We start from the raw sequence: 26,739 nt of genomic DNA, 5'->3' as shown, positions 1-26,739 counted from the left end.
CAGGGAGTTCTCCCCACTCCCATCACTAGCGTGACTGGCCTTATGGGTTCTACCCTAGGTCCCCTGCTTAGGACGCAGGGACAAGCATTTGTTCTCAACCTGCAGGTAGGGAGAAGCCTGGCACTGTTGGAGCCATTTTTCCTCCAGTGAAGGGAACCAGGTAGGACTGTGTCACGCAGACACAGGACCGGGACCCCGACGACAGCCTGAACCTCCTCTGGAATCCCCCCTTACCTGGACTTCACCATCACGTGAACCACGACAGGTGCTTTGATGTTTGAGTCAGCCAGAATCGGGGCCCTAACTAACACAAATCCCAAAGCTCATCCACGCTGGGCCACCTCCCTGGCACAGCTGTGATATCCCCGGCTCTCTGTCTTCCCCACCCCACCAAGGAAGTCCCATCAGGACCTGTGCTCTTTGAGTGGGTGGTAGCATGTGTTTGTCCTCTGAGAACTAGATCTATGACTCTTACACCTGCCATCTGTTTGGGCCCAAGTTTCTTCTCCCCGGGGCCCTCATAAGACCTGGGTATCCACAGGCTGGTTGGAGGCCCACTTACACACTCACTCCAGCGTGCGCTTTCAGCCCAGCTCTCAGCGCCCTCTTTGAGCTCATCTGCTCACTGGAGCTCATCCCCTAATCTCTCAACCACCTGCACAGCTCCAAAAACAAAGCACTCCTCCCCCCGCTCTCTCAAAGGCTCTGCAACAATGTTCCACGGAAGAAAGAAATAGCTATGACAGATGACGTCATATGCCCTTGACACAGGTCACCTGTCCTCACTCCCAGGCCTGGCCTGGGAATCACTGTGATTCCAGAGGTGGAAGTGTGGGGGCTAAATTCTGAAAGGCTGAGATGTTTTTCTCTAGCTAGGTCGGACTGGGTTTGGGAAGTCATTCCTCCAGGACACAGTGAACCTACTCCAATGGAGTGTCCCTGTTCTGAGGGGGAGGGTGGCCGCTGGAGAAGACAAGGTGGCTTTGGTCCCTGCGTGGGGAACTAAGGGGGACTATGAGGTCTGAGCAGGAGTGGTAACTGTGGTGGGGTGAGACTGGGATGTGGTAGGAACAGAGCAGTGTGGCAGCTGACAGAAGGGACACTCTGGAAGTCATGGGGAAGCTGAGACCTGGAGGAGGCAGCGGAGGGAACCGGGATGGTGGTAAGGACCTCCTGGAGGAGGCTAGATGAGGAGGGTGAGGATTTTCTTCAACAGGTTGTGCTCAGGCCTTATCGCCTCAGTCCTGATTTGCTCTATGGACAGATAACGAAAAACAAACGTGTTGCTTTTTTCTGTTCTTGTTTATCAACATTTAAACACTGCCGCCATCCTTTTAAGCACCCAAATGTGGGACCTAAGGCAACCTCAGGTCCCAGATTTGCTTAAACTCCCAATTGCCTTTTCATCTAAAGAATTGGAACACGATTCTGATTAGATCACAACTCTTGAGTTTGGAAGGAAGAGTCAGTGTCATTTTGTCACAATGCATGGTGATGTTGTTCTCTTATCGGCCTCATTTATCTAAACTGAGTTCCCTGAAATTGGTCTATGCTGGAGTGATCTTAGTTTCCCCAGCACATGACACACTGCCTGGAACACAGTGGGCAATTCAGAACATTCTAGAAGGGATGAGTGAGGGATCACTCACATCCATACACAAACACACACATGGTTAATCTTAAGTATTCTCCAGTGAGGTCACCAAAAAAGCACCAGTAACGTGTCACGGTTCCCAGCCTCTGACCTCTGCTTCCCACAGCTTGGGGCTGATGATGGTGGCTGAGCGCTTCCTGTCTTCACATTCATTCAGGACAAAAATAAATACCTGCTACGCACCAGCCCCCATGCTGGGCACAGGCATTGCGGCAGGAAGACAGGCATGGTTCTGGCTCTCGGTGACTCTCCTGCAGTTCCTTCCAAGCCCCTTCCAATGGCAGGGCTGGTGCACAGGCTGTGCCCTCTCTGCCTGCTATGCTCCTGCCCAAGTCTCCAGCTGCCTGGCCCCTTCTCATCCTGGAAGGACACCTGCACAGAGGGAGACCTCCCCCTGGGAAGTCAGGGTCGGCCCTTTACTCTGTCTCTCAAGCGTACTATGTCTTAGCACAGTAGTGATTACTTTGTTCATCTCTCTCCTTAGGACCCATCTGTGTCTGCCCCACTGGAAGGTGACTGCAGAGAGGTGGCAGCTCCCCAGGAGCAGGGAGACCAGTGACGAGATGCAGCCACGTCCAGCCAGGAGCTGTCAGGCAAGGCTTCCTGGAACCCGCATTTCCACAACCTACTCGGGTTTCTTCCCATGTGGGAGGCTGAAGAAACCTGCCACCAAGGAACTAATTATGGCTGAGCCCGAGCAGTTCTTGCCTTCCAGGAAATTTCCAAGAGAAAGGGTGTGCATCCCTCCCCCTTCCTGCTTTGAAGTCTCCATAGTTAACAAAGCTGCAGTGATACTGACCACCTGGGGCTGTGGTGTGGATCTGGGCTGAGCTGCTCTGGGCACACAGAGCCCAGAGCACACTACAGAGAGCTATGGCCGAGACAATCTTCTCTCCTCCTGGCGGGTCAGTTTCCTGGTCTGTGAAACCAGCCCTCCTCATCACTACCTCACTCCTTGCCAGGATGATTTAACACAACATCACAGATCAACAGTCTGGCTCACCGCCAACAGGTACTCAACAAATGGCAGCTGGAAACACTGTATTTTTATATGAGTGTCTCTGAAGAGGTGGGATAGGAGTCCTAATTTTTTCTTAAGACAGGGTCTCGCTCTGTCACCCAGGCTGGGGTGATCATAGCTCATTATAGCCTCAGTATCCTGGACTCATGCAATCCTCTCACCTCAGCCTCCCCAGTAGCTGGAACTACAGGTATGCACCATCATGCCCAACTAACTTTTTACTTTTGTAGAGACGGTCTATGTTGCTTGGGCTGGTCTCGAACTCCTGGCCGCAAATGATCCTCCCACAGTGCTGGGATTGTGGCAGGCCAGTTCTCACTAACACAGGCCTCTATAACAATTGTGTCAGCACTGACTGAGTGGTTAAGTTAAATATTAAAAGCTGAGAGAGCTACTGCCCTTATACAAGGGCTGGAATGTAACAAAAGCCCACCCCTAGTTGTGCCCAGGCCTTTCCTGGGCCTTGAAGCATGACAAGATAACGAAGGATTAAACAAGTTTTACTGGGGATGTGAAGAAACTCCCCAGGCCTCCACAAACAAGTTTACTGGGGGTCTGAAGGGACTCCCCAAACCTCCATGATTTAGCAGGAGACAAGATAAGGGTAATCACGCCCACACCTGGACCCATTTAGATTAAGTAAATTTACTGAAGCTCTAGAGGAAGGTCTTCAGGACTCAGACCTTAGTCATAGACTAGAAGAAGCTGATCACTTAGGTCTCTAGAGGAATGCACACTTACACGTGGACACGTAGCTTAGAAGGTATGTAAGCTCCGGGAAACTTTGTAATTTTGAGTTGGTCTGCAGATAATTTCTAAGCCTTCTCCCTGTACCTCGTTACAGAAAAAAAAAAAATTCTTCTCTTCCCAGTTCATCTGCATCTTGTTATTGGGCCATAAGAACAAGCAGCGCAACCCTCGGTTTGGTCCAGGAACAGGATTACAGGCATAAGCCACCGCGTCCAGCCAGGAGCCCTAAATTTTTAAACAGCCCTGACTACTGTCCTGGTTCTACCTGTGAGTTGCTCACTCTTCCCCACCAACAGAGGATGGGAATGAAGCTGCCGGGTTCTGCCCTCCCAAGTCATGCCTCCCTCCATGCTGAGTTTGTATCCAAGTCACGTTCCCGACTCTGACCGGAGGCAGAAAGCCAACACTCTCTACCTGCTGGTTCCCATCCGGCAAACGATGCATCAGCAAGAAGGCAAAATACCCAGAGAAAATTTTGAGTCACGATGCCAAAGGGGCCTCTGGGCAGAAAAACCAGCCTGATCAAGGCCGCTGCTGCTTACGGTTCAACAAAGGCCTGCTGGCTGTAAAATCTAGCAAGAACATGCAGGCTCCCAGGTGTGCATGAGCTCGGAGCAAGATGTGAATTTCAATCCTGGCTCTGCCGCCCTCTCTGGAAGAAGCTCACTCTCTTGCAGCCGTGGGGGCTCACATGTGAAATGGGCCAAGGATGTCTCAGTCACAGCACCGCTGACAGCGAAGAACACCAAGAGCCAGCGTGGGGCCGAACACAAGGTCAGTCCTCCATCGGTGGCGTGATGACAACCACCGCCTCAGCCAAGGCTGTTATTACCACTCCCATCCAAACTAAGCGTGTTTCCCCCAGGCCGGTAGAAATGGCAGGTGCTGATACCTTTCAGCTCTCAGTCGGGTCCTGGGCTGAATGCTTTACTTGCATTATCTCATTTCGACCCCCCACCCCGGCACGGGGAGTCATTAGCATCACCATTTTGCAGATGAAGAGACTGAGGCTTGGAGAGGTTAGGGAACATATCCAGGGTCACCCAGTTAACAATGTTCATTTAATTCATTTTACACTCATTTCACAGCTTGTGTCTGCTGGCCACTAGGCACAAGACGGTGCATAAGACACACTTAGTCCCTGTGAAGCTGATGTCAGGTGTTAATTAAATGCACAATGAATTGCTCACAGGGTGAGGAAGTGAGAGTGTTAGGTGGCAGCACACAGAAATCTAAGCCATGTTATTTGTTCTTTATGGCTTTACAAGCAGCACGTTCCCATCCTTGAGGCCACTGTGGCTCTAAAGGCACAGGAAGGGCCACCAGGTTCTCAAGTCACCCTAGGATGTGGGGCCCAGCTGCCCAAACTCCCAGCATCTCTCAATGAGTCATTAAGCCCCATTGTAAGGACAGCTTATTTGTGAGGGCTTCACGGAAGAGCCAAGACAGAGAAGGACACACAGAAGCCAGGGGGAAGACGAGGGGAGCCACCTGTTCAGACTGAGTCCTGCGCATCTGGGGCCTGCGAAGGTCCCTGCACCCAAGTGTGTCTCTGGAGGGAGTGACAGCCAGCAGCCAAGCCTTCACAGGCCCATGCATGGGCACTGGAGCAGCTGCCCCATGGATTGTTAACCTAAAGACAGTCCGCCACTCCCTTCTCCAAGGTCCTGGGTGCCTGTACAATAGGAAAGTGGAAAGAGAAAACTTCTGGGAGAAACACTGTAACCGAATTTCCTCTCACCTGGGCAGGTAGGAGGCAAACTGGAAAAGAACAATTCAAGTTACATTCCATTTAATAAAGGAATCACTGAATGTGAGGTTTCTAGCCCTCTGTGATGGGCTCCTGCCCTAGCCACCACTGTATGATCAATTTTGAATCCAATAACCAGAATGAGACTGAAAACCTGTCTCTCTACTCAATCCCCTCCATACCTTCCCAAAGGCCTCAGAAGATTTCACTTTCCACCACCTTCAAGGATCACTGTGCAGCAACCTGGAGCTCATGGTTCCATCCCTGGGAGGGCTGCAGAAAGAGCCAGGAGGGAAGAGGATGCAGAGAAGCCAGGGGCAGGAAGGAGGGATGGGAGAGAAGGAAGTGTGCCTGCCCTAACCAAGCCCAGTGAGCGGGACCTTAAGATGTGGAACGGGGCAGGGGGAGCATAACAAAGACCTTGGGGGGCACAGAAGGAGTGGGAGGGAGGCCCCTGAGGTGAGAGAGAGCAAGATCCCGATTTGGGTAAGAAGAGGACTTTTTTTGTTGTTTTTTGAAATGGAGTTTCGCTCTGTCTCCCAGGTTGGAGTGCAGTGGCACAATCTCGGCTCACTGCAACCTCCGCCTCCTGGATTCAAGCAATTCTCTTGCCTCAGCCTCCAGAGTAGCAGGGATTACAGGTGCCTGCCACCACGCCCAGCTAATTTTTGTATTTTTAATAGAGACGGGGTTTCCCCATGTTGGCCAGGATGATCTCAATCTCTTGACCTCGTGATCCACCCACCTCGGCCTTGTGATCCACCCACCCTGGCCTCCCAGAAGAGGCCTTTTGAATCTGATGCTAGTTTAGACAAGTCAGCCCTGTCCCTGTGGAACCTATCCCAAATTCTTCCCGCCCCACTGGCTACAGCCAGTCCCTCCAATCTGCCAAGCTCTCCTGCTTCTGGCCTTCACCTTTGCTGTCTCTCTGCCTGGGATGCTCCCCTCCTAGATCTTTGTACTTCAAGCAACATCTCCCTTCCCCAGCCAGCATTCACCCAATCACATCACCCCGTGCCTTCTTCGGAGCACTCAGCTGTATCTGAGAACAGCCTGGCTACGCAGTTGTGTATCTGTTGAGTGTCTATCTCACTCACTAGAAAGGATCTTCCATGGGAGCAGAGGCCTGATGCAGTTCACCCCATTACATCTCCAGCCCCTGACCCAGAAGAGATGCCTCCTGATTTAATAACAATATTGACAGTCCTATAGAGCAGGGGTGACAAACTCTCTACCATGAGTCAAATCCAGCCCATCATCCATTTTTGTAAATAAGTTTTATTGGAACTGTATTAGTCTGTTAGGGCTGTGGTAACAAAATACCACAGACGGTTGTTCAAACAACAGAAATCTACTTCCCACAGTTGTAGAGGGGCAAAGTCCAAGATCAAGGTGCCAGCAGGGTTGGTTTCTCCTGAGGCCACTCCACGGCTTGCAGATGACCATCTTTTTTGTGGTGTCTTTACACTGTCTCATCTCTGCACGCACACAGGCCCCACCCTAATGACGTTTTATCTTAATTACCTCCTTAATGGCCCTATCTCCATATACATTCACACTGGGGGTTAGGGATTCAATATGTAAATGATGGGGGCAACACAATTCCATCCACATAACAAATGAGCATTGCTGTGTTCTGTTTACATAGCATCTCTGGCTGCTTTCCTGGAATGACAGCCAAGTTGAGGGCTGGAAGCAGAGGCGTTAGATCCACAAGGTGTAAAGAATTTACTCTCTGGCCACCCTTTATGGAAGAAAAATACTCATCCCTGGTCCGGAGCAAGGCCCCTACTGTTTGACATATCACAACAACAATAATTTTCTGCATCACTCTCAACTGGGAGGCCCCACTGAAGCCCGGTCCAATGCACCTGGCCACTCTTCTTCTGCTTCACAGTCACCAGGGGTTCTATCATTCCCCTGAGACAAAAGGAGACAGTGAGGCCTCCCATGATTCCAGAGGATGAAACCAGAGATTAAAAGGTACAAGCCCATGAAGTCATAATTAAGATATGTGCAGAAAATTAGGGAACAGAATTGCCTGTCAAATGCCAGCCCTAGAGCAATTTTGTGGAACTTGTGGTTTGCTAATACCACATCCATTAATAATTCAGAAACCACTCAAGGATTATTGAGAAGACGAGAATTTGGTGCCACAGGCCTCCCGGTAGGAGACAGAATAACATCGTGTGTGTCATGTTTTAGCCACCAAAATCTATCAAGGGCAAGGACATGATGGCTTTTATTCTTCCTGCTGCTTCTTTCTGCTCAACCACAGTTTCAATCAGAACCAATTCAAGTGAACACTGCAACTGCTGACTATCCCCCAACATTCTTTTTGATTTAGTGTTATAAAATCCACCAAGCTGTAGAATCAAAGAACCTCAGTTGCAAAAGCTCACAGGAAAGAAGATGCTGAAGAAACAGCTTTAAGTTTTTAAAATAAAGACTTAAGTGGTATATCTTGCATATCAGGATCCATTCCAGCCTATTCATAAACACTAACTCATTTAGTCCTCACAACAAACCACTATTAAGACCTTCATGTTACAGATGAGTAAAATGAGACAGAGAAAGGCTAGGGAACTCGGCTGAGGCCACACGGCTAGGAAGTCACGGAGCCAAGAGTCCAGCCTGAGCTGTCTGGCTCCAGAGTCCACTCGCAACCACCACTCTGTGCTGCTTCTCTTTCAGGTATAAACTATGTGCATATGTTACATCTGCAGACCATTCATCCAACAGGTACTTCTACAATTAACAAGCTGGGTACAGTGGCTCATGCCTGTAATGCCAGTACTTTGGGAGGCCAAGGCAGGAGAATCGTTTGAGACCAGGAGTTTGGGACCAGCCTGGGCAACACAGAAAGACCCCAGCTGTACAAAGGTTAAAAAAAATAAAAAAATAGCCAGGCCTGCTGGTGGCATGCACCTGTGACCTCCCAGCTACTCAGGAGGCTGAGGTGGGAGGATCACCTGAGCCCAACAGTTGGAGGCTGCAGTGAGCTGTGAGTGCACGACTATGCTCCAGGCTGAGCAAGAGAGTGAGACCTTGACTCTATAAATAATTAAAAATAAACATAAGCAAAAGAATGATTAGCTTAGAAACCAAAGAACTGGACTTGAGTCCTAGGCCCTCCACTTAACAGCCAGATGGTTGTTTTTGAGCCTCAGTCTCATTTGCTGTAAAGCAAGGATCATAAATACCCTCTATGTTATAGGAAGCCATTGTCATAGGATTCAACTGGATTGGCTCTAATTTACTGATCATCTGTCACATACAGAATCACTGACTCAACTGATACCAATGGGGCAATTAAGACTCCATACCCGGCATGGGGTGAGGTGTGGGGGATGCAACAATGAGCAGAACTGAGACTTCCCTGCCCTCATGGGGCCCTGAGTCAGCTGCTATAACACACATGAAACAAACGCTCACAAGAAGAACCACCGAATTCAGAGCTGGGACGATGCTGCAAGGGATAGATGGAATTCCACAAGAGGGCTGACGGAGGCTGCCCCAGTTCATACTGGCAGGTCATGGAAGGGCACTTCTCATCTGGCAGGAACTTATCAAGCCATGGTGGCAGGGACTTTCCCGGAAGAGAGAAGGGCAGGTATAAAGGCCCTGGGGTGATCCTGTAGTTAGGCAACCCCATTTTACCCCTTCTACAACTCAGGGTGTAGGCATAATTATCCTTACTTCACAGACACATCAACCAAGCTTCTCAGAGGTTTAAAAAAACCCAGGCCAGGCGCAGTGGCTCACGCCTGTAATCCCAGCACTTCGGGAGGCCGAGGCAGGTGGATCATCTAAGGTTGGGAGTTCAAGACCAGCCTGGCCAACATGGTGAAACCCCGTCTCTACTAAAAATACAAAAATTAGCCGGGCATGGTGGTGGGCGCCTATAGTCCCAGCTACTCAGGAGGCTGAGGCAGGAGAATCACTTGACCCCAGGAGGCGGAGGTTGTAGTAAGCCGAGATCGCCCCACTCACTCCACCCTGGGTGACAGAGTGATACTCCGTCTAAAAAAAAAAAACAGAAAACAAAAAGTCTCCCCAGGGTCCGAAGCTCCTTTATGACAATGCTAGACCTGAAAAGCCAGATCCCCCTGACTCGGAAGGCCATCCCACCTCTGGCAAGCCACACAGCCTTCTGTGAAAGGGCTTTTAAAGCAGTCTCAGGATGAGGTAGAACTGGTTGTTTTAGAATGGTCACAGGAATGTCTGAGTGTGAACTCAGTAAAACATCCTCTATCTCCATTGCCTAACAGTAAATAATACATCACGAATATCAGTTTCTCCCTTACCATGGAAGTTATTTGGCCTATAAATTGTTTAAGCAATAGGACCACTTGGAAGCTCTTCCCCCTCTGTCCCAAAGCCAAGCAGAAACATCTGACACTCAGCAAAGAAGGTTCTTGAGGAGGGGGAGATGAAGTACGAGATCTTAAGCTCCCAAGAAATGCGAGACCCCCTGGCCTCCCCTGCCCTCACGCCTCACCTCTGCTTCTGGCTCGTGGAGCTTATTTCCGGGTAAAACCTGCCTCAATGGGACACTTCATTTTCATCTACATTTACAAGGAAAGCTCTTCCTGCAGACGAACAGGGTTTTCTCAAAAACAGACCCTCACTCTCACCAATGGCCCAGAGTTAAGGTAAAGTCTCTACAGTGCAGTTGCCAGTTTTTCAACTCAACCTCTGCTAAGTGTCTATTATACCCAGGCTCTGGCTGAGCGCTGGAAATTCAGAGAGGAGCAAGCCCTGACTAAACGACAGCGCAGCAAGTGCTGTGCTAGATGGAAGTGCAGGGGGCTGGGATGGGGACATTCATTCATTCATCAAATACAGATCAAGCACTGCAGCTGCTAAATAGCCCCCAATATCCTTTTTGCCTTTGAGTTAAAAAACCCACCAAGTTGTAGCTGGACACAAGGCTGCAAGATAAAGACTACATTTCCCAGCTTCCCTTGCAGCTCAGAGCAGCCACCTGAGTAGCTAAACTCTGCCCAGCAGGATGTGGAAATTAGTGATGTGAGCAACTTCTGGATCACACACCCTTCCCACAGGCCAGTGGAGTAACAAAGCAGAAGAAACCTGGGCCCCGGTTCCTCATGGAAAAGAGCTGCCTACCCACCCCACACCTACCACTTCATACTTTTATGCAAAGATAGAGATAACTCTATCTTATTTAACCCAATGATAAGCTATGTTAAGTTAAACCAACACTCTCACTAAAACAAGCCCCAGTTTTAGGCTGCCATCCTGCTCCAGGTGCCATAGATACAGCAGAGATGTACAGAGATGGCCAAGCTCTCTGCCTCCAGCAGCTCACACTGGAATTGGCGACAGACAACATACAAAGAAACAAGTAACAGACTGTGTTTTTCCGAAGGAAATAAGCCGGGTGAAGGGTTGGAGATGAATCTAGGCATGGCCAGCCACGCCATCTCAAGGAAGGGAGGGCTCAGACCTAAAGGCGGACGGGCCATCGGCCTTGGGAAGAGCATTTCAGGCAGAGGGAGCTGCAAGCTCAACCGCCCTGCATCTCCTGGAGGAAATGGGAGGCGGCCAGCATGGTGCAGTCCAGCCAGCAGAGGAAGCCAGGAGCCAGGAAAGGAGGACGGAGGAGGGTGTGAGCCCTGCCTGGGAGGTCCCTATGGGCTGCCCAGAGAAACTAACACCTGGACAGGGGTGCAAATAATGTCATGGGGTGAGAGGCTGTGTTTGGAGCAAGGGCTTCAATTCCTGTCCCCTTTGTAATGGAACCTGGTAGGAAAGATCTCTACTCAATCCAGCAAGCTCTGGGAGAGAGGCACTGAAAGGTTAGAAAGAAGTTTCTTTACCTAGGGTAGGGGGCGGGGGGTTCAGAAAAAAACTCCCTGAAGTTCCCAACAGGGTTTCAAATGAAGAGCTTAATTTTTTAGCAATGCAGCTCTGCCCTATCGAGTTGATTAGGAAGGACCAGCCCTCACTTATAACTTTCTTTTTACAAGAAACCTTATTCACTGTCTTTTTATTATAATTTATAACTAAGTTATGGTCCTCCCAGGAAAGCCCCATCTCATCACTTACCTCCTTCCCTTCTCCCACAGCTGTTATTTAGGAAAGAACAAACCTCCCCTGTGGGGGATGTGCTACTTCTTCGTTATTTTGCCCTGAATTGATGGATTTTGAGACGTTTTTTCCTGCAGCAGGGCACTGCTCCTATGTGCCAGGATGCCCTGGGCAGTTCCCACCTTGCCTTTATTTTTTTTTTAAGCTTCACTGAGGTTTAACCAGCAGACAGCAGAGTGCACATATTTAAAGAATACCTTCTGACAAGTTTTGACATATGTTTACGTTTGTGAAACCCCCATCACAAGACACAGAACATGTCCACCACCCCCAAAGGTTCCTTCAGACTCCTGGTAATGCCACCCTCCCATCCCGTCGCCAGACGCCAGTGATCTGCTTTCTGTCCCTATAGATTAGTTTGCATTTTCCAGAGTTTTCTATAAATGGAATCATACAGCATATGCTCCTTATGGTCTTTTTTTTTTTTCACTTGGCACACAGTTATTTTGAGATTCATCCATGCTGTTACGCGTGCCAATGGTTCATTCCTCCTTGACACAACTTGTGTATCTTTTCACTGCCAATGGCCATTTGGCCTTTTCTAGTTGGCTAACACAAAGTTGCTCTGAACATTTGTGCACAAGTCCTTGTGTGAACGTGTATTTCCTTTTCTCTAGGATAAAAACCTAGGAGGGGAATGAGAACCTTGCCTTTGAAGCTGGAGTATTATCTCATTGTTACATCCTTTTTTCAGGGTCAAGTAGCATTTCGGTGAGTCTCTCCTAATGCAATGCATGTATGATCTCTGACATGAGAGAACTTTAGCTGGTGCAGCGGTAAACACCATATGTCAACTATGCAGTGTGTATGTGCATGCATGTGTGCGTGCACGTGTATGTGTGCATGTGTGTGCATGTGTGCACATGTGTATGTATGTGCGTGCATGCGTGTGTGTACATATGTGTGCACACATCCATGTGTGCAAGCGTGCGTGCACACGTCTGTGTTTATCTTGGTGATCCTGCTTCTGATTGAACTCTGCTGCATATTTAGCTCAAGAAGTATCAAGACAAAATACAAACTCGCACCAAGCTGGAACTTCAGCTGCAGAGTTGAGGGGATACACACAGACTTCAGACCAAGGGTAGGGGATGGTCAAAGGCACTGCATGACACCTACGCAGGTGCCTTCAACTCCACTGCCCTTTCTAAAGGAAACCCTTCCAATTCCTCCAAACCACTCAATACCTGCAGCCAGATACTAACTGGCGGGAGCGATTTAAGAGTGTTGAACACATTCACTTCAAGTAACGAGTGAGAACCCACCTCCCTCTGAGAATCACTGTGGGCACCCATTCCTTCACCACATGCTCAGAAAAGACCTACTATGTGACGACAGGTGCCACATTGGGCTCTGGGACACCATGGTGAACAAGTCAGTCTCTGCCGTCAAAGAGTGGACAAGCTAATGGAGAAGCCAGACAGGACACAAATAAATGTCTCTGCTGGGTGCTACCAAGAAAAATGAGACAGAGGGGCCAAGAGAGCAACAGATGGGAGGGGACAGGTTACTTGTGGGGGGATCAGGGAAGAAGGGCTTCCAGAGGGATAAATAACTGAGCAGAGACCATGCACTGCCTTCAGCAGTGAGCCCTCGCAGGTTTTAGGCTACTGTTGCATTGGGAGGCTAGATAGGTAGCCCCTATCTGTGCATCTCCCCAACTTGAGCACCAAAAAGGCAAAATGAGGGATGGGCTAACACAGCGTTCTGTCCACACCAAAGGCTGTTTGTCCTGAACCCAACTCAAACAGACCCTGATTGCAGAGGAAGCCCACCTCTTCTCTCCCATCTCTTGCTGTATATAGAAATCACAGCAGGGTTGCAGAACCCCCAAATAACTCCGAAACACACTTGGTGGGTAATCTGAGAGCAGGTTCTGTCAATGCTAATGGCCCAAAGAGAGACAACCTTTCCATTGCCTCTCTCAAAGTGAGGTTTCCTTTGTAACAGTCTCTGCCATAACCATTTATGTTTGTCCCATTAGCCCCAGCTGGTTGTGACCTGCATTTCCCCGACTCATTCTCTCCTTCCTACATGCAACAGGCTTAAGAGTCTTCTAGCACTTTTCGATATAACGGACAGCTTACATAATCACACTTGCAGCCACCGGGACTTGCAGGCAGGCGTTCTTGTTTCTTTTGCTCATTAGATAAATAAATCCTTACATGTTGTCAAGACTCTCCAGCTGAGAAACTGATGGACTCGTGTTTAATTTGTACCCATCTAGAAATACCATTTATGTGTAAATAGCAGTAGAAAATATTACACAGGCATTGCAAGAGTCTGCCTTATACCTTAGAAGTCGAGGATTTTTTCTGTCTTGTTTCCTGTTTATCCCTGGCACTCGAAGCCGTGACTAGCACACGGAAGGCACTCCGGAGGAGTGCACAACAAGTTGACAAACATGAAGGAGGGATGACGATGGCACCCACCTGGCATGAGTGACCTGAGGATTAATGACAGTATCTGCAGAGGGCCCCAGAAGTGCCAGGCTACAGCAACAATCCAGGATGTGGCCGCTACTAAGAGGTTGATCCCTGCAGAAGGGATAACATGCCACCCAAAGCCTGGATGAAATCCGTAAATACCCCACACCCCATGAGGGAAACGTTCACATTACTGGACAATCAGAATGATACACAGTAGAGGCTGTGGGACCCAGAAGCCACCATGAGCAGGTGATTCTGTGGAATGCCACCTGGTGGGGACAGATGAGCAGTAGGCATAAATGTGCCTGCCTGCCGGGTGTCAGCACCACCAGCGAGGTGCCATCTCTGCTGTTGGTTGGGGAAAAACCCTCAGAGCAGAGACCATGCATCACCTTCAGCAGTGAGCCCTCGCAGGCTGTAGGCTACTGTTACACTGGGAGGCCAGAGCTGAGGTAGACCCTGTCTGTGCATCTCTCCCATATGAGCACCATGAAGGCAGAATGAGGGATGGGTTCAGTGGCTAACACAGCACTCTGTCTACACCAAACGTTGTTTGTCCTGAAGACAACTCAAACAGACCCTGATTGCAGAGGAAGCCCACCTCTTCTCTCCCATCTCTTGGTGGGCCAGGAGTTCAGAAGGTCAGGGTCATTGGGGAAGTGAACGTCACCATGAGAGGATCTCAGGGTAGCAGGACTTTGCTGACCGATGGAGGTGTGTTTTGCCATTGATGGCTACATTGGTGCCTACCAGCCAAGGCCGAGCCTAGCAAAGGCATCTAGGCCTTGACCACTGTGCAGACAGGCAGGCCCTCAAGACAGATTCTCCACGCCATTCCAGGCTTCGGCAAATCCAAGACCATTCATGACCCTGTGTAGCCTCTACATTCTACTGCTGACAACTTCTCCCCTCTTCTTGGCCTAGGCATTAAGCAGGCAAATGTTTGACACCTATTAAGCTTCCCAACTCTGTCCAGACACAGAATAAAGTGGGGACAAAATTGTACCCAGACCAGCCCTGCATGAAAGCATCCATACCCCATTCAACATTCACAAATGTGAGAATTCCACACGCCTGGCACTGTCCTCATGATGTTAGTGACATCACCTCATTTAATGACAGGAATTGCATTTCTCATTTTATACTGGAGGATACAGTTCTCTCTGTGGCCTTAACAACCGCACTCACCATCTATCCCACAACCTCCCTCGGCCAGGCACCTGCATGTAAAACCATTCATCCTCGTGATCATATGCAGATGGCATCACCATGCCATGTGAGCGAGGAAAAAATGTAGACCAAGAGTGGTTAAGAGTACACAGAATTTCAACTCAACTCTTTCTATATCAAAGCCATTCCAGTTGACAGAGCACTATTCTGAAATCCATTGCTAAAATAAAATAGCCTGTTCACAAACTGTTTAAGAAGAAGGAAACAGAGGTTCAGAGGAGAGGGGCCCAATTCAGGGAACTCCCCTCCCTTGTAAGGCCCATACTAAGCATCTACTCCGGGTCCCTCCAAAGGATGACTCTACTTCCCTCACACCCTTTCCCTGCACAAGGGGGTGCAGGCAGCCCTGAAGCTTGTGTTCCTGCGATCACCGAAGCCCTCTCTTATGGCAAACCCTTGAAGAACAGTCACTCTACCCACCTCCCCAAAAGACAAAGCTTCTGCCCAAACTAGGGGCTGGCCACCAGGGAGTTACACAGGACAGCTCGGCTGACAAGGTTGTCCTTTGCTATCGGATCCCTAGTAACTTTTCTGAAGAATTTCTAAAGTGCTGGGGAAGCAATATTGAATATTATCCCCAAAGACCATGCCGCTGCAGCAGGAGTGCTGCCATCAGCAGGGGCCTAACTCAGTGTAATCATCATTAAACTTGAAAGTTGCCTTCAATTTCCGCTGGAGGGAATGTAGTTACAAAGACAGCGAAACACGTATTCAAAGGCATTTACACGCTCAGCCCTGGCCAGGAAAGGACAAAGATTTCAAAGGCTCTGTAATACGCTAATTCTCCAGCCAAAGATTCTATTTCAACAAACTACAAAATGAATTAAATGTCTGTTTAATTCATTTTAAACAGACCTCGTTTTATACTGGAGGACATTGTTCTCTCTGTGGCCTTAACAACCTGACTCACCGTCTATCCCATACCCTCCCTCGGCCAGGCACCTGCATGTAAAACCATTCATCCTCATGACCATATGCAGTTGGCATCACCATGCCGTGTGAGTGAGGAGAAAATGTAGACCCACAGTGGTTAAGAGTACACAGAATTTCGATGCAACTCTTTCTATATCAAAGCCATTCCAGTTGACAGAGCACTATTCTGAAATCCATTGCTAAAATAAAATAGTCTGTTCACAAACTGTTTAAGAAGAGGGAAATGGAGGTTCAGAGGAGAGGGCCCCTCATATGATCATGAGGATGAATGGTTTTACATGCAGGTGCCTGGCTGAGGGAGGGTGTGAGACAGATGGTGAGTCAGGTTGTTAAGGCCACAGAGAGAACCGTGTCCTCCAGTATAAAACGAGGACTATTTAAAATGAATTAAACAGACATTCAATTCATTTTGCAGTTTGTTGAAATAGAATCTTTGGCTGGAGAATTGGCATATTACAGAGCCTTTTAAATCCGAACAGGTTACAGCTCGTCGGTACTCCACCCTGATGTACAGAAAAGGACAAGGGCTTTGACCAAATTCTAAGTGGAAACACAGTCTTTCTGTATTCAAAGCCCAGAGAATTATAATTAAAAATTGTAATTAGGAATGGCACCATTCAGAAGTTTTCGGAGTCTGGATACACAACACCCAGGCATCTAGGTGCAAAATTTAAGGAGGTGGCAAAAAGCTCAGTAATCATGATAAATAATATTTCCATGCAATGTTTTGAAATATCAAAATTAATGCCAAAAAAATAAATCTATGGAGAACAAAATAGCAAAATTTTAAATCAGGCATGAGGACAGGCTCAGGACCACTGATTTTTCCTCTGGCCTATGGCTCCACACTCCTGCTCCTTCTGAAGATGGTCAAGTGTGCCCAGAGAAGTGAAGGGACCTGCCAGTGTCACAGTCACTGGCAGCTAAAATGCCTAGGGCTTGACGCCCTCGGCGCTGTGCCCTTTGGTCCCTGTCACCTTGGGCAGGGATTACTGCCTTAGCCTTGCCCTGCTCCAGTCCTGATACCACTCCGTGGCCGGGGGGGATCTTCGCAACACCTGAGTCTAACCTCGTCACACCTCTGCCAAGACTTGTCAGGTGGCCTCTCCTTTCTCACACTCATCAGCTATGAAAACATGTATGAACTGCTCATATGAGGGGCTCAAAAGACCTATATATACACAGACTGCATGCACAGACTCGAAATTCTAGTTCCCACAGATTTCAAATCATTAGAAAGCCGAAATAACCAGATTTTTATAGTGTCACACTATGATAATTGATGTTCCTAATTACAGCCTTGAGGCACAGCACGCTCTTTAACTGCCTTCTAAATTATCGAAGATCAAATTATGTTCAGTTGCATTTTAGCATTAAGTGTATTTTAATTATATTCTCATTCTTGGAAAATTAGTAACATGCACAGCTGAAATAGATGATCAAGGCAGCTTTGTGAATAAAACATTCTGAATAAAGCTCAGCTTTCCAGAATGTTCTCGTAAAATCATATTCTGCCATCATGCTAGGTAAATGAGAGTTTATAGTTCATATCCTCTCTTTTTAAAAAAATATGGCCACTTATATAAACAAGTGAATTATGGAGTAATATTCTTAAGTGAGGAAATAAAATAGGAGGAGAAGCAAGAAAATAAGTGAAGCTGGCCAGGTGTGGTGGCTCACACCTGTAATCCCAACACTTTGGGAGGCCAAGGCAGGTGGATCACTTGAGGTCAGGCGTTCAAGACCAGCCTGGCCAACATGGTGAAACCCCATCTCTATTCAAAGACATTTACATGCTCAGCCCTGGCCAGAAAAGGACAAAGATTTCAAAGCCTCTGTAATATGCTAATTCTCCAGCCAAAGATTCTATTTCAACAAACTGCAAAATGAATTAAATGTCTGTTTTAAATCTGAACAGCAGACATGGTGGCGTGCACCTGTAGTCCCAACTACTCAGGAGGCTAAGGCAGGAGAATCGCTTGAACCTGGGAGGCAGAGGCTGCAGTGAGCCAAGATCTCGCCATTGCGCTCCAGCCTGGGAGTGCAACAACAACAAAAAAGCCAACAGTAAGTTCCGAACCAAAAACCACATGCCACAAGGTCTCCACTTTTGCTAAAGATGAGCTCACATTTCTGTCAAGCTTCTTAGAAGTCAAGGCAAAAAAAAAAAACAAAAAACAGTGATAGGATTCACAGCCTCCAAAAGATCTGACCACTTGGTCAAGGGACTCATTCCTGCTACTTAGGCCTGGGAAAAATTTCTCTCAGGTAGAAATCATTCTTATTACACACGATATGCATAGGCAACAACTGCCTTACCAATGTGTTAACAGAAAACACTATGACCATTTTCAACAGGCTGTATCCCCTAACATCCCAGGGCCAGACATCCAAACCTCAAACGCCACTGAAAATGGGCAAGACAGGCTCAGCTGGGGGAATAGGAGGGAGAGTACAGCTAAGTACTGTGATAAACCAGAAGGTGCACGTCATTCTCAAGGACTCAGCTGTGACTCCGCCCAGTGAACCGCTGCTATGTGGAAATCATCAGCCCAATGCTTCCAGAACATCTAATTTTTTAAATTACAAAACACTTCAAGCATGCAAGAGAATAACTAATGCATATCTACATATAGGAAATGAGGAACCATAACAAGACATATACCTGTGTACCACCTTAAGGTACAGAACCTCTGGAACTTTTGAGAACCTCTCTCCAATGCTGGCCCTCTCCCATGATCACAACCCTAATTTTTATGGTTACCATGCCCTTGCCTTTCCGTATAGCTTCCCACAAGTGTGAATTCTTAACCTACCTCCTGTTCCATTCTACACTTTTCTCATATTCTTACGAATGTGTTTGGCTGTAACTCGCTTTCTTCGAGCCACACAATTTTCATTAGATCCATCCAAACTGATGTGCACAGCTGAGGTTCATCCATTTTCCTTGCTGTGTTGATTTCTATGCTGTAACACACTTTTTAAAAATCGACTCTCTTATCGATGGATATCTAAGTTGTGTGGAATGTTTTGCCATCGTGAGCGATGCTGTGAACATGGCTGTGTTTCTCCTGGTGTTCGTGGGCAAGTGTTTCACTAGGGTGGGGCTAAAATTCATCTATGTTTTAATATTGGTCAAACTAATTATTTTTTAAAAAAAACAAAAGCAACTATGTGGACCAACTCCATACCTCTATCGACTGCCAGTCTACAGCCTGCAACAGACAGACAGCTTCACGGTAAATTGCAAAAGAAGATTCTCTGAGCAGTAAAATGGTTTGGGCTGCATTTGTTTCTGCCTTTTATCTAGCTTACTTCAAGAACAAAAGGGTCTCACATAGCCAGATCACATGACCTTTGGGCAGGTGTTTATAAACATCATTTCTTGAAAATTATCTTTAAAACTTTTGAACGGTGACAAGCTTGGGCTTATCCTCACTAACACGAGCCCAGAAGCTCCTCAAGAGCCAAGATTGATCCTCTTAAACTAGAAGTGCTTTTAGAAAATGTGCACTGATGAGATGTCTTTTAAAATGCATTCACCCTAACAGTGTGGCCCCAAGTCACTCCATGGCGTTTTATAAAAGGTATTACCTAGCAGGAAGTTTCCAAAGTGAAAGAACAGGAGAAACTATGGTCTGAATGTTTGTGTTCCCTCAAAAGCGCAATGAAATTCTAACCCCCAAGGTAATGTATTAGAAGAGCAGGGCCTTTGGGAGGCGCTTAGGTCATGAGGGCAGAGCCCTCACGAATGGGATTTATGCCCTTATAAAAAAGGCCCCAGAGACCCCCTGTCCTTCCACGATGTGAGAACATGGCAAGAACATGCCCTCTATGAACCACAAAGTGGGCCCTCACCAGACCCCACATCTGCCTTGACCTTGGCCTTCAGAACTGTGAGAAATACATTTTTGTTGTTTATAAGTTTCTCAGTTTATGGTATTTTGTTAAAATAGCCTGAACACACTAAGACAGTAGATAACACAATCAATAATGATAAACAGAAAATTACAGCGTCAGTGCAAAAAACATAGAAGTGTGCCTGCTGTAACTGTAGAAACTGACTTTTACTTTTTGGAAATCAGTTTCATAAAGTTTGACGGAACGTGGCCACAGCCATTTGCTTATATTCATCTGTTTCCATGCCGCTTTGACGGAGGTGAATAGTTACGACGTCCATCCCACCAACACATCCACCCTCTGGCCCTTTACAAAAGAGGTTTTCCCATCTCTGTCTTAGATCACTGGGTCACACACACATTCTAGATTCTGATAAAGAAAGGACCGTAGGCACTGGTTCATTTCCTTCATTGTGAATTGAGACAGAACCAGATTCTAAGTAATTATCTTTCTTTTGTATATAACTGAAATTTACCTTCAGGATCAATATTCTTTAAACATGGTACAAGGGATGAGGACCAGCAGCCGCAATGTTAGGTAAGGAGGAAAGTGATAGTGTGACTATCAAGTGTATTCGGGATGATGCCTGTAAAAGAGCTTCGACTCTGAGAAGGATTAAAATCTTTCTTTCTCTGTCCATAGGGCAAGGCAAACCGCGACTAGAGTCCTCTCAGAGAAACACCAGAATGTTAATGTCACAGTCTTTTAGTGCCTATCTCATGCAGAGTCCATCCTCCGAGCCAGGATTCAAAGGGAAGCAAGGTAAGCTTGATCCCTGCCTTCCTGGAAGTTACATTCTAGAGGGGAGATGGACCATAAAGAGCCAACAACGACGTAATCGAGAAGACTGGGGATCCTGATATTTCAATCAGGAAAATAAAACTGGGCAATACAATGGATTAGTCAGACAGAAGGCACCATTGGATCAGACTGGACTGCCAGGGAAGGCCTCACTGAGGCGGTGACACTGAATGGAGACTGGGAGGACACGAAGCCAGCCATGTGGAGATTTGGGGGAGAGGGAGTATAGGAAACACAAGACCCTGGAGGGTGGAGTAACCCTGGCCCTTCCTAGGGGCAGGCTGAGGGGGCTGGAGAGTAGAACGAGGAGTGTGGTGACAGGTAAGGCAGGAGATGTGGGCACACGCCAGAGCGTGGGCGGATTTGGAATCAGCTTGCAGAGTACAGGAAGGAGTCTACTGGTAGTACTCCCGGCAAGAGAAAATGGCAAGTTAGATTTGTGGTAGCAACACAGATAGAAAACAATGGTTGGCTTTATGAGATATTTTAGAAGGGACTGTAACTCATTGAGTGACTAGATGTAGACAGTGAGGGAAAGAGAGAAATCAAGGATGACTCAGGCTGTTTAACTTGATTAGCTAGCTGAATGGAAAGTGGTGCCATTTAGGAAGATGGAGAAAACCGCAGACGCACAAGTCAGGAGGAAGAACAGAGTTCTGCACTGGCCTTATTCAGTGTGAGATGCCTTTAAACCAGTGGTCCTCAAAGGAGGGTATTTTTGCTTCCAAGGGCAGAGTACGGAATGTCGAGAGACATTTTTGGTGATCACAACTGGGATAGGGAGATGTCACCAGCATCTAGTAGGTAAGGCTAGTGGGGCAATGTCACTAAACACCCTGCAACATGCGGAACAGCCTCCCACAGCAAACAGCTACGCAGTCCAAAATGTCATCAAGGCTGAGTTTGAGAAACCCTACTTTAGACAATCCACGGAGATGTCACGACGGCCGCTGGAGCAACGTGTGCCTGGAACTCAAAGAGAAGTCAGGGTTACAAGTATGCATCTGGTTTTTCTCAACAGCTTGTTTTTCTTGTGTTGCTATTCTCTCTCATCATTCTTTTTTTAGCTGCTCTGCTGGGGAAAAGCAGTTACATAGGAATTAAAAAGGGACTGAGGTTAACAGATCTAAGTAAAAACTGTCAGAACTATTAAGTCGTTCATAAACACTAAGGCAAAACACAATGCCAAACAATGGAAGATAAAAAGACAGTAAAATATACAGAGTAAAATATACAGCTTGGAGAAACCACCAAGCTGATCACTGATGATCGATGCTATCAGAGCGCTGTCTCCAAGGCATTATGGGGACAGGAAGGAAAATGTGATCAACTCTGCCTTGGTTGGAGAAAGTGGTGGAAGACAGGAGGCAAAAAAGGGTTCTTTTCATTCATATTAGAGAAATGCAAATTAAAACTACATGGAGATTACGTTACTTGGCTACCAGATTAGCAAAACCTCATAAGAAATTGTATTTATCCCGGCCAGCTGCAGGGGCTCACACGTGTAACCTCAGCACTTTGGGAGGCCGAGGCAGGCAGATCACCTGAAGTCAGGAGTTCAAGACGAGCCTGGCCAACATGGCGCAGCCCTGTCTCTACTAAAAATACAAAAAATTAGCCAGGCGTGGTGGCAGGCACCTGTGGTCCCAGCTACTCAGGAGGCTGAGGCAGGAGAATCGCTTGAACCAGGGAGGTGGAGGTTGCAGTGAGCCAAGATTGCGCGACTGCACTCCAGCCTGCGTGACAGAGCAAGACTCGATCTCAAAGAAAGAAAAAAAGAAATTTTATTTATGCCATTAAGAGATTTCTAGTGTAAGAAAAAAGATACAAATATTAAATCAAGGTAGTTAAGTAAAAAAAAAAAAAAAAAAATTCGAAATTTGAATTAGAAGTATCTATGGATCATAATATATAGTCTACTAAAAAAGAAGGGATGGGGTGGGGGAAAGGGAGGGAAGAGGCAGGTGGGGAAGAAGAAAGGGAAAGATTTTCTAGCTCTGAACACTGAAAAGGCCTAGAAACAATAGCCAACCCAGTAGCAACGAGCACTCCCCACTACCTAGATTATGCTGTATAAATACCTTTTCCCAGTCAAAGAGCCAGGGCCCCCTGGAGGAACAGGTGTTTCCAGGTCTGGGGCATGAAGTACAAGAAGGGCCTAGAACACCTCAGCTTCCTTGCTTTGATGTCCAGTGTAATGGCAAAAACTACTCTTGAGGACTCAGGAATCAAACTAAACACCGTCCATGGGCTGAAGATAGGACAACTTGAATATCACAAAGAAAAATTACTGTGATGAACTGGAAAACATCAAATAGGCTTAAATACATAAATTTGTAATTTTTTTTTTTTGAGACGGAGTCTCACTGTGTCACCCAGGCTGGAGTACAGTAGCATGATCTCAGCTCACTGCAACCTCCGTCTCCTGGGTGCCAGCGATTCTCCTGCCTCAGCCTCCTCAGTAGCTGAGATTACAAGCATGTGCCACCATACCCAACTAATTTTTGTATTTTTAGTAGAGATAGGGTCTCGCCATGTTGGCCAGGTGGGTCTCGAACTCCTGACCTCAAGTGATTCACCTACCTTGACCTCCCAAAGGGCTGGGATTACAGGCATGAGCCACCGTGCCCAGCCCTATTTTTTTTTTTTTTTTTTAAAGACTCATTGGTCCTCTCTGGAGGAGGGAAAGGAACCAACTCATTATTATGAAAATGGATAAATAAAAGAATCAAAGCCTTGGTTCCTCTGGCTTCCTCATTCCATTATGATAAGGTTAATGTAGGTAACAACTGGTAATACCATCAGGCACATAGGAATCACGCCACATGTGAAAGCAACTCTAACTGTTGTCACTATACCCACATCGTCACCCCTGGGCCCCTGGGGACACCCACATCTAACCTTCCTTGGCCGGTGAGAGACAGCAAGGGTCCTCCCAGCCATGGGAGGCAGCAGAGGATGCCTGGCCTATTCTAGAGAGGAAAGTAAGAGAGTATTTTCTGTCTCTCATTGGCAGGAAAATCTAAAAACACACAACATGCATATATATTTAAGGGCCAGACATTCTTCTAAATGTTAGACACATGTTAACTTATTCTTCACAGTAACACTAGGAGGTAGGAACTATTACCATTCCCATTTTACAGATGAGAAAACTGAGGCTCAGAGAGGTTAATAACTTTCTCATGATCATAGACTTGTTCATGGCAAAGAAAGGTATAATCTGCACAGGCTTGTTCAAGATTCTGCAAAGTATGAAACCTTGAAGAAGGTGATAAACATCAGCCCTGCAGAAAACCATCCAGGGGATGAGGAGTCTAAGGAAATTATCTGTGTTATCATTTTTGTCACTGTCATCATCATCATACCAGTTATTCATTGCATTATGAATTGCATTGCTCAGTTATTCACTGAGCATTGAATTGATCATTCCACATCAATTATGCCATGACTGAAGTGCTATTATTATTTCTTTTCTTTCTGAAACAGAGTCTCGCTCTGTTGCCCAGGCTGGAGTGCAGTGGCACAATCACAGCTCACTGCAACCTCCAATTCCTGGGTTCAAGCAATTCTCCTGCCTCAGCCTCCCAAGTAGCTGGGATCGCAGACGCACACCACCATGCCAAGCTATTTTTTGTATTTTTAGTAGAGACAGGCTTTTGCCATGTTGGCCAGGCTGTTCTTGAACTCTTGGCCTCAAGTGATCTGCCCACCTGGGCCTCCTAAAGTGCTGGGATTACAGGTATGAGCCACAGCGCCTGGCCCATAAGTGCTATTATTGTTCCACTTCCTGGAGGGGAAAAGTGAGGTTCAGCAAAGCTGGGAAGGTTTCGACAGTTGTTCAGTGAGACAGGTGGAGCCAGACGTGGAAGCCAATCAACGATATTCCGCAGCTCACATTTCCCCCAGCTTTACTGAGGTGCAAATGACAAATAAAAATGGAATATATTGGAGATGTACAGAGAAATGATCTGAAGTATGTGTACACTGTGTTATGACGAATGCAATTAAATTAACACATCCATCACCACCCACGGTTATCATTTTTTAACTCTGTGATCTTTATAACACAACAGGGGGTGCTGAGGACACCTCAGATCTCTCTTAGCAAATTTCAAGTAGGAGAGGCCAGGAGAAGGGAAGGAAGCCAGGGATGCGGAGGAGGAGAGAAGTGAATACACACACCGAGGAAAAGAGCTTTGGCTTGGGGGCAGTCATTATTTCTGTGTAGAACAACACAAAACAAACCAATAAACAAAAAAACAAAATCATAAAGACCATCTTTCCAGCCCAGATTTTGACATTAAGAAGTGGTACATCCTACTGGCATTACTTGAAAATCACTCCCAGGCTTTGGCCATGGCAGCAGGTGAGATTCAAGGCCCAGAGCCTCCAGGGCCTCAGCTCACCGCACACTGCCCCGTGTGTGGTGGGGAAACCCAGACCCCAACAGGTGCCGTGGCCTCCGCCCCAGTGCAGCTGCTGGTGTGGTCTGCCCTTGTCTCCAGCCTCCGACCCCTAACCCTGTCTTCTTTCTGCAGCGGGGGGAAAAAAGTGGTATATCCTAGAGGAGTGGTTCTCAACCAGCAGGGATTTTGATCCCAGAGACATGTGGCCATGTCTGGAGACATTTGTGATTATCACAGTTGTGGGGAAGGGGGTGCCACCAGCATCTAGCGGGCAGCAGCCAGGCATGCCGTGAAACATCCTACTACACACAGGAAAGCCCCCATGACAAACGATTATGTGGTCCAAAATGTCAATAGTGTTGGGGTTGAGAACCCTGGCATAGAGCAAGTCACCTGACCTAGGTGGGCCTCGCTTTAGTCCTTTGTTAAGTGGCGATAACCACGTTTACCCTTCATTAAAGTGTTTATGAGCAGTAAATGTATCTATTGCCTGGCCCATGACTGGCACTCAAAACAGCAGCTGATACTAATGGTATAACCATCCCTGTCAGCATCACCACCATCACTAAGTAGGAGAAGTACCTGCATTAGGGATTGGCACAATGTGACCTGCAGGCCCCCTGCCTGTTTTGGTAAATAAAGTTTTATTGACACACAACCATGTTTACAAATTGTCTTGGGCTGTTTCAGTGCTCCAATGGCAGGGGATCACATGGCCCACAACACCGAAAGATTTTACTATTGATCCCTTTATATAAAAAAGTCTGCTGGCCTAGTAATGATCAAGACATGTGAAGTGCTACACCAAAAACAAATTGTTATAATTCTGATGTGTCAAAAAAATTGTAGGAAATTTCTTTCTTCTCCCCATATATAAGGGCCATGGGCACAAACTTACAGGTGCAGAGCATTCTACTTGCTGAAAGCCAATTTTATCCACTCGATTTTATCACTTTTCATCAAAATTGACCACCACTTTGCTTTAAAATACATGCCATCACAGCAGTTCAAACCTCTAACACCAGGAAGGCAGTCATTATGATATTTACAGAGAAACTGAGATCTGTTATCTCCCTCTCCTCCCGAGCCAGAGCACAGGAAGGGGAGAATTTTCCATTAACTTTAAAAGCTTTTTACCACCGAAGGAAGAAAAATTTTTCAGGAAGACAAAAAGATAATATGTTAGCATTTAAATCTAGTTTTCTTCACAAAGGGAAAATGATTTCTACATATTACATAGTAGGAACTGGGTTGTTACCACAGAACATATTTCATTTTGAGGAGAAGAACTGTTTAAAAGACTCATTTTTGGAAACGTTAATCTCAGGCACCTGGAGATGAAAGCGCTGGGCGCAGAAGTTGGTCTTTGTCAAAAGACAGTTTTCAAGTTTTTATAAGACTCATCTCCCTTCTCTACCTTAAAAATGGATTAAAAAAAAAATCTACTTGAAGGGAGTGAGGAAAAAAAAAAAGAACCCAATTTCAATATCCTTTGCTAAAGAAATAGTCTTTGCTCAAAGCAGGGCAGAGAGTTGCCTGTGTGACCCAGAGAAATAAGTGAATTGAAACTTTTCTAAAGTACTTGTCACTGTAAAAGAGTTGCTGAGAGCTTGCCCTGGCAAAGCTGAGTTTTTGGTACTGAAAATGGAACCTGTGAGTCACTCCAAGGAAGCCCGAGGAAACAGGGTATATTCAGCTCTCTGCTCCACCGGTTCCAGAGGTAAAATGTACCTTCGTCAACGGAAGCT

At 46.9% G+C, this 26,739-nt stretch overlaps 1 protein-coding gene and 1 non-coding gene across 20 annotated transcripts in view, besides 8 other annotated features; one reads left to right on the top strand and one right to left on the bottom strand.

The window, feature by feature from the left end:
* The window catches only part of SNX29 (sorting nexin 29), a 597,554-nt gene that overhangs the window by 252,054 nt on the left and 318,761 nt on the right, over positions 1–26,739 (bottom strand). The window lies entirely within an intron of this gene.
* Positions 4,499–5,430: an enhancer, noted in NCBI's record as "H3K4me1 hESC enhancer chr16:12410661-12411592 (GRCh37/hg19 assembly coordinates)". NCBI's record gives its function as "activates a minimal SCP1, AML or CMV promoter by ChIP-STARR-seq in naive and primed H9 embryonic stem cells {active_cell/tissue: H9 hESC(naive and primed)}" and the evidence as "EXISTENCE:reporter gene assay evidence [ECO:0000049][PMID:30033119]".
* Positions 6,448–6,742: an enhancer, noted in NCBI's record as "tiled region #2664; HepG2 Activating DNase matched - State 5:Enh". NCBI's record gives its function as "activates a minimal TATA promoter and a strong SV40 promoter by Sharpr-MPRA in HepG2 cells {active_cell/tissue: HepG2}" and the evidence as "EXISTENCE:reporter gene assay evidence [ECO:0000049][PMID:27701403]".
* Positions 6,448–7,172: a biological region, named in NCBI's record as "Sharpr-MPRA regulatory region 2664".
* Positions 6,487–7,172: an enhancer, noted in NCBI's record as "NANOG-H3K27ac hESC enhancer chr16:12408919-12409604 (GRCh37/hg19 assembly coordinates)". NCBI's record gives its function as "activates a minimal SCP1, AML or CMV promoter by ChIP-STARR-seq in primed H9 embryonic stem cells {active_cell/tissue: H9 hESC(primed)}" and the evidence as "EXISTENCE:reporter gene assay evidence [ECO:0000049][PMID:30033119]".
* Positions 7,173–7,860: an enhancer, noted in NCBI's record as "H3K27ac hESC enhancer chr16:12408231-12408918 (GRCh37/hg19 assembly coordinates)". NCBI's record gives its function as "activates a minimal SCP1, AML or CMV promoter by ChIP-STARR-seq in primed H9 embryonic stem cells {active_cell/tissue: H9 hESC(primed)}" and the evidence as "EXISTENCE:reporter gene assay evidence [ECO:0000049][PMID:30033119]".
* Positions 8,408–8,908: an enhancer, noted in NCBI's record as "H3K27ac hESC enhancer chr16:12407183-12407683 (GRCh37/hg19 assembly coordinates)". NCBI's record gives its function as "activates a minimal SCP1, AML or CMV promoter by ChIP-STARR-seq in naive H9 embryonic stem cells {active_cell/tissue: H9 hESC(naive)}" and the evidence as "EXISTENCE:reporter gene assay evidence [ECO:0000049][PMID:30033119]".
* Positions 10,208–10,714: an enhancer, noted in NCBI's record as "H3K27ac-H3K4me1 hESC enhancer chr16:12405377-12405883 (GRCh37/hg19 assembly coordinates)". NCBI's record gives its function as "activates a minimal SCP1, AML or CMV promoter by ChIP-STARR-seq in naive H9 embryonic stem cells {active_cell/tissue: H9 hESC(naive)}" and the evidence as "EXISTENCE:reporter gene assay evidence [ECO:0000049][PMID:30033119]".
* Positions 10,715–11,222: an enhancer, noted in NCBI's record as "H3K27ac-H3K4me1 hESC enhancer chr16:12404869-12405376 (GRCh37/hg19 assembly coordinates)". NCBI's record gives its function as "activates a minimal SCP1, AML or CMV promoter by ChIP-STARR-seq in naive H9 embryonic stem cells {active_cell/tissue: H9 hESC(naive)}" and the evidence as "EXISTENCE:reporter gene assay evidence [ECO:0000049][PMID:30033119]".
* On the top strand, positions 24,911–25,037 carry LOC124900383 (small nucleolar RNA ACA64). The gene has a single exon (XR_007065251.1). It is a non-coding gene; the product is annotated as a small nucleolar RNA ACA64 (small nucleolar RNA).

Source organism: Homo sapiens, chromosome 16 (genome assembly GCF_000001405.40).
Source record: "Homo sapiens chromosome 16, GRCh38.p14 Primary Assembly".
Taxonomy (NCBI): Eukaryota; Metazoa; Chordata; class Mammalia; order Primates; family Hominidae; genus Homo; species Homo sapiens.
This window is presented reverse-complemented; position numbering and strand designations above follow the sequence as displayed.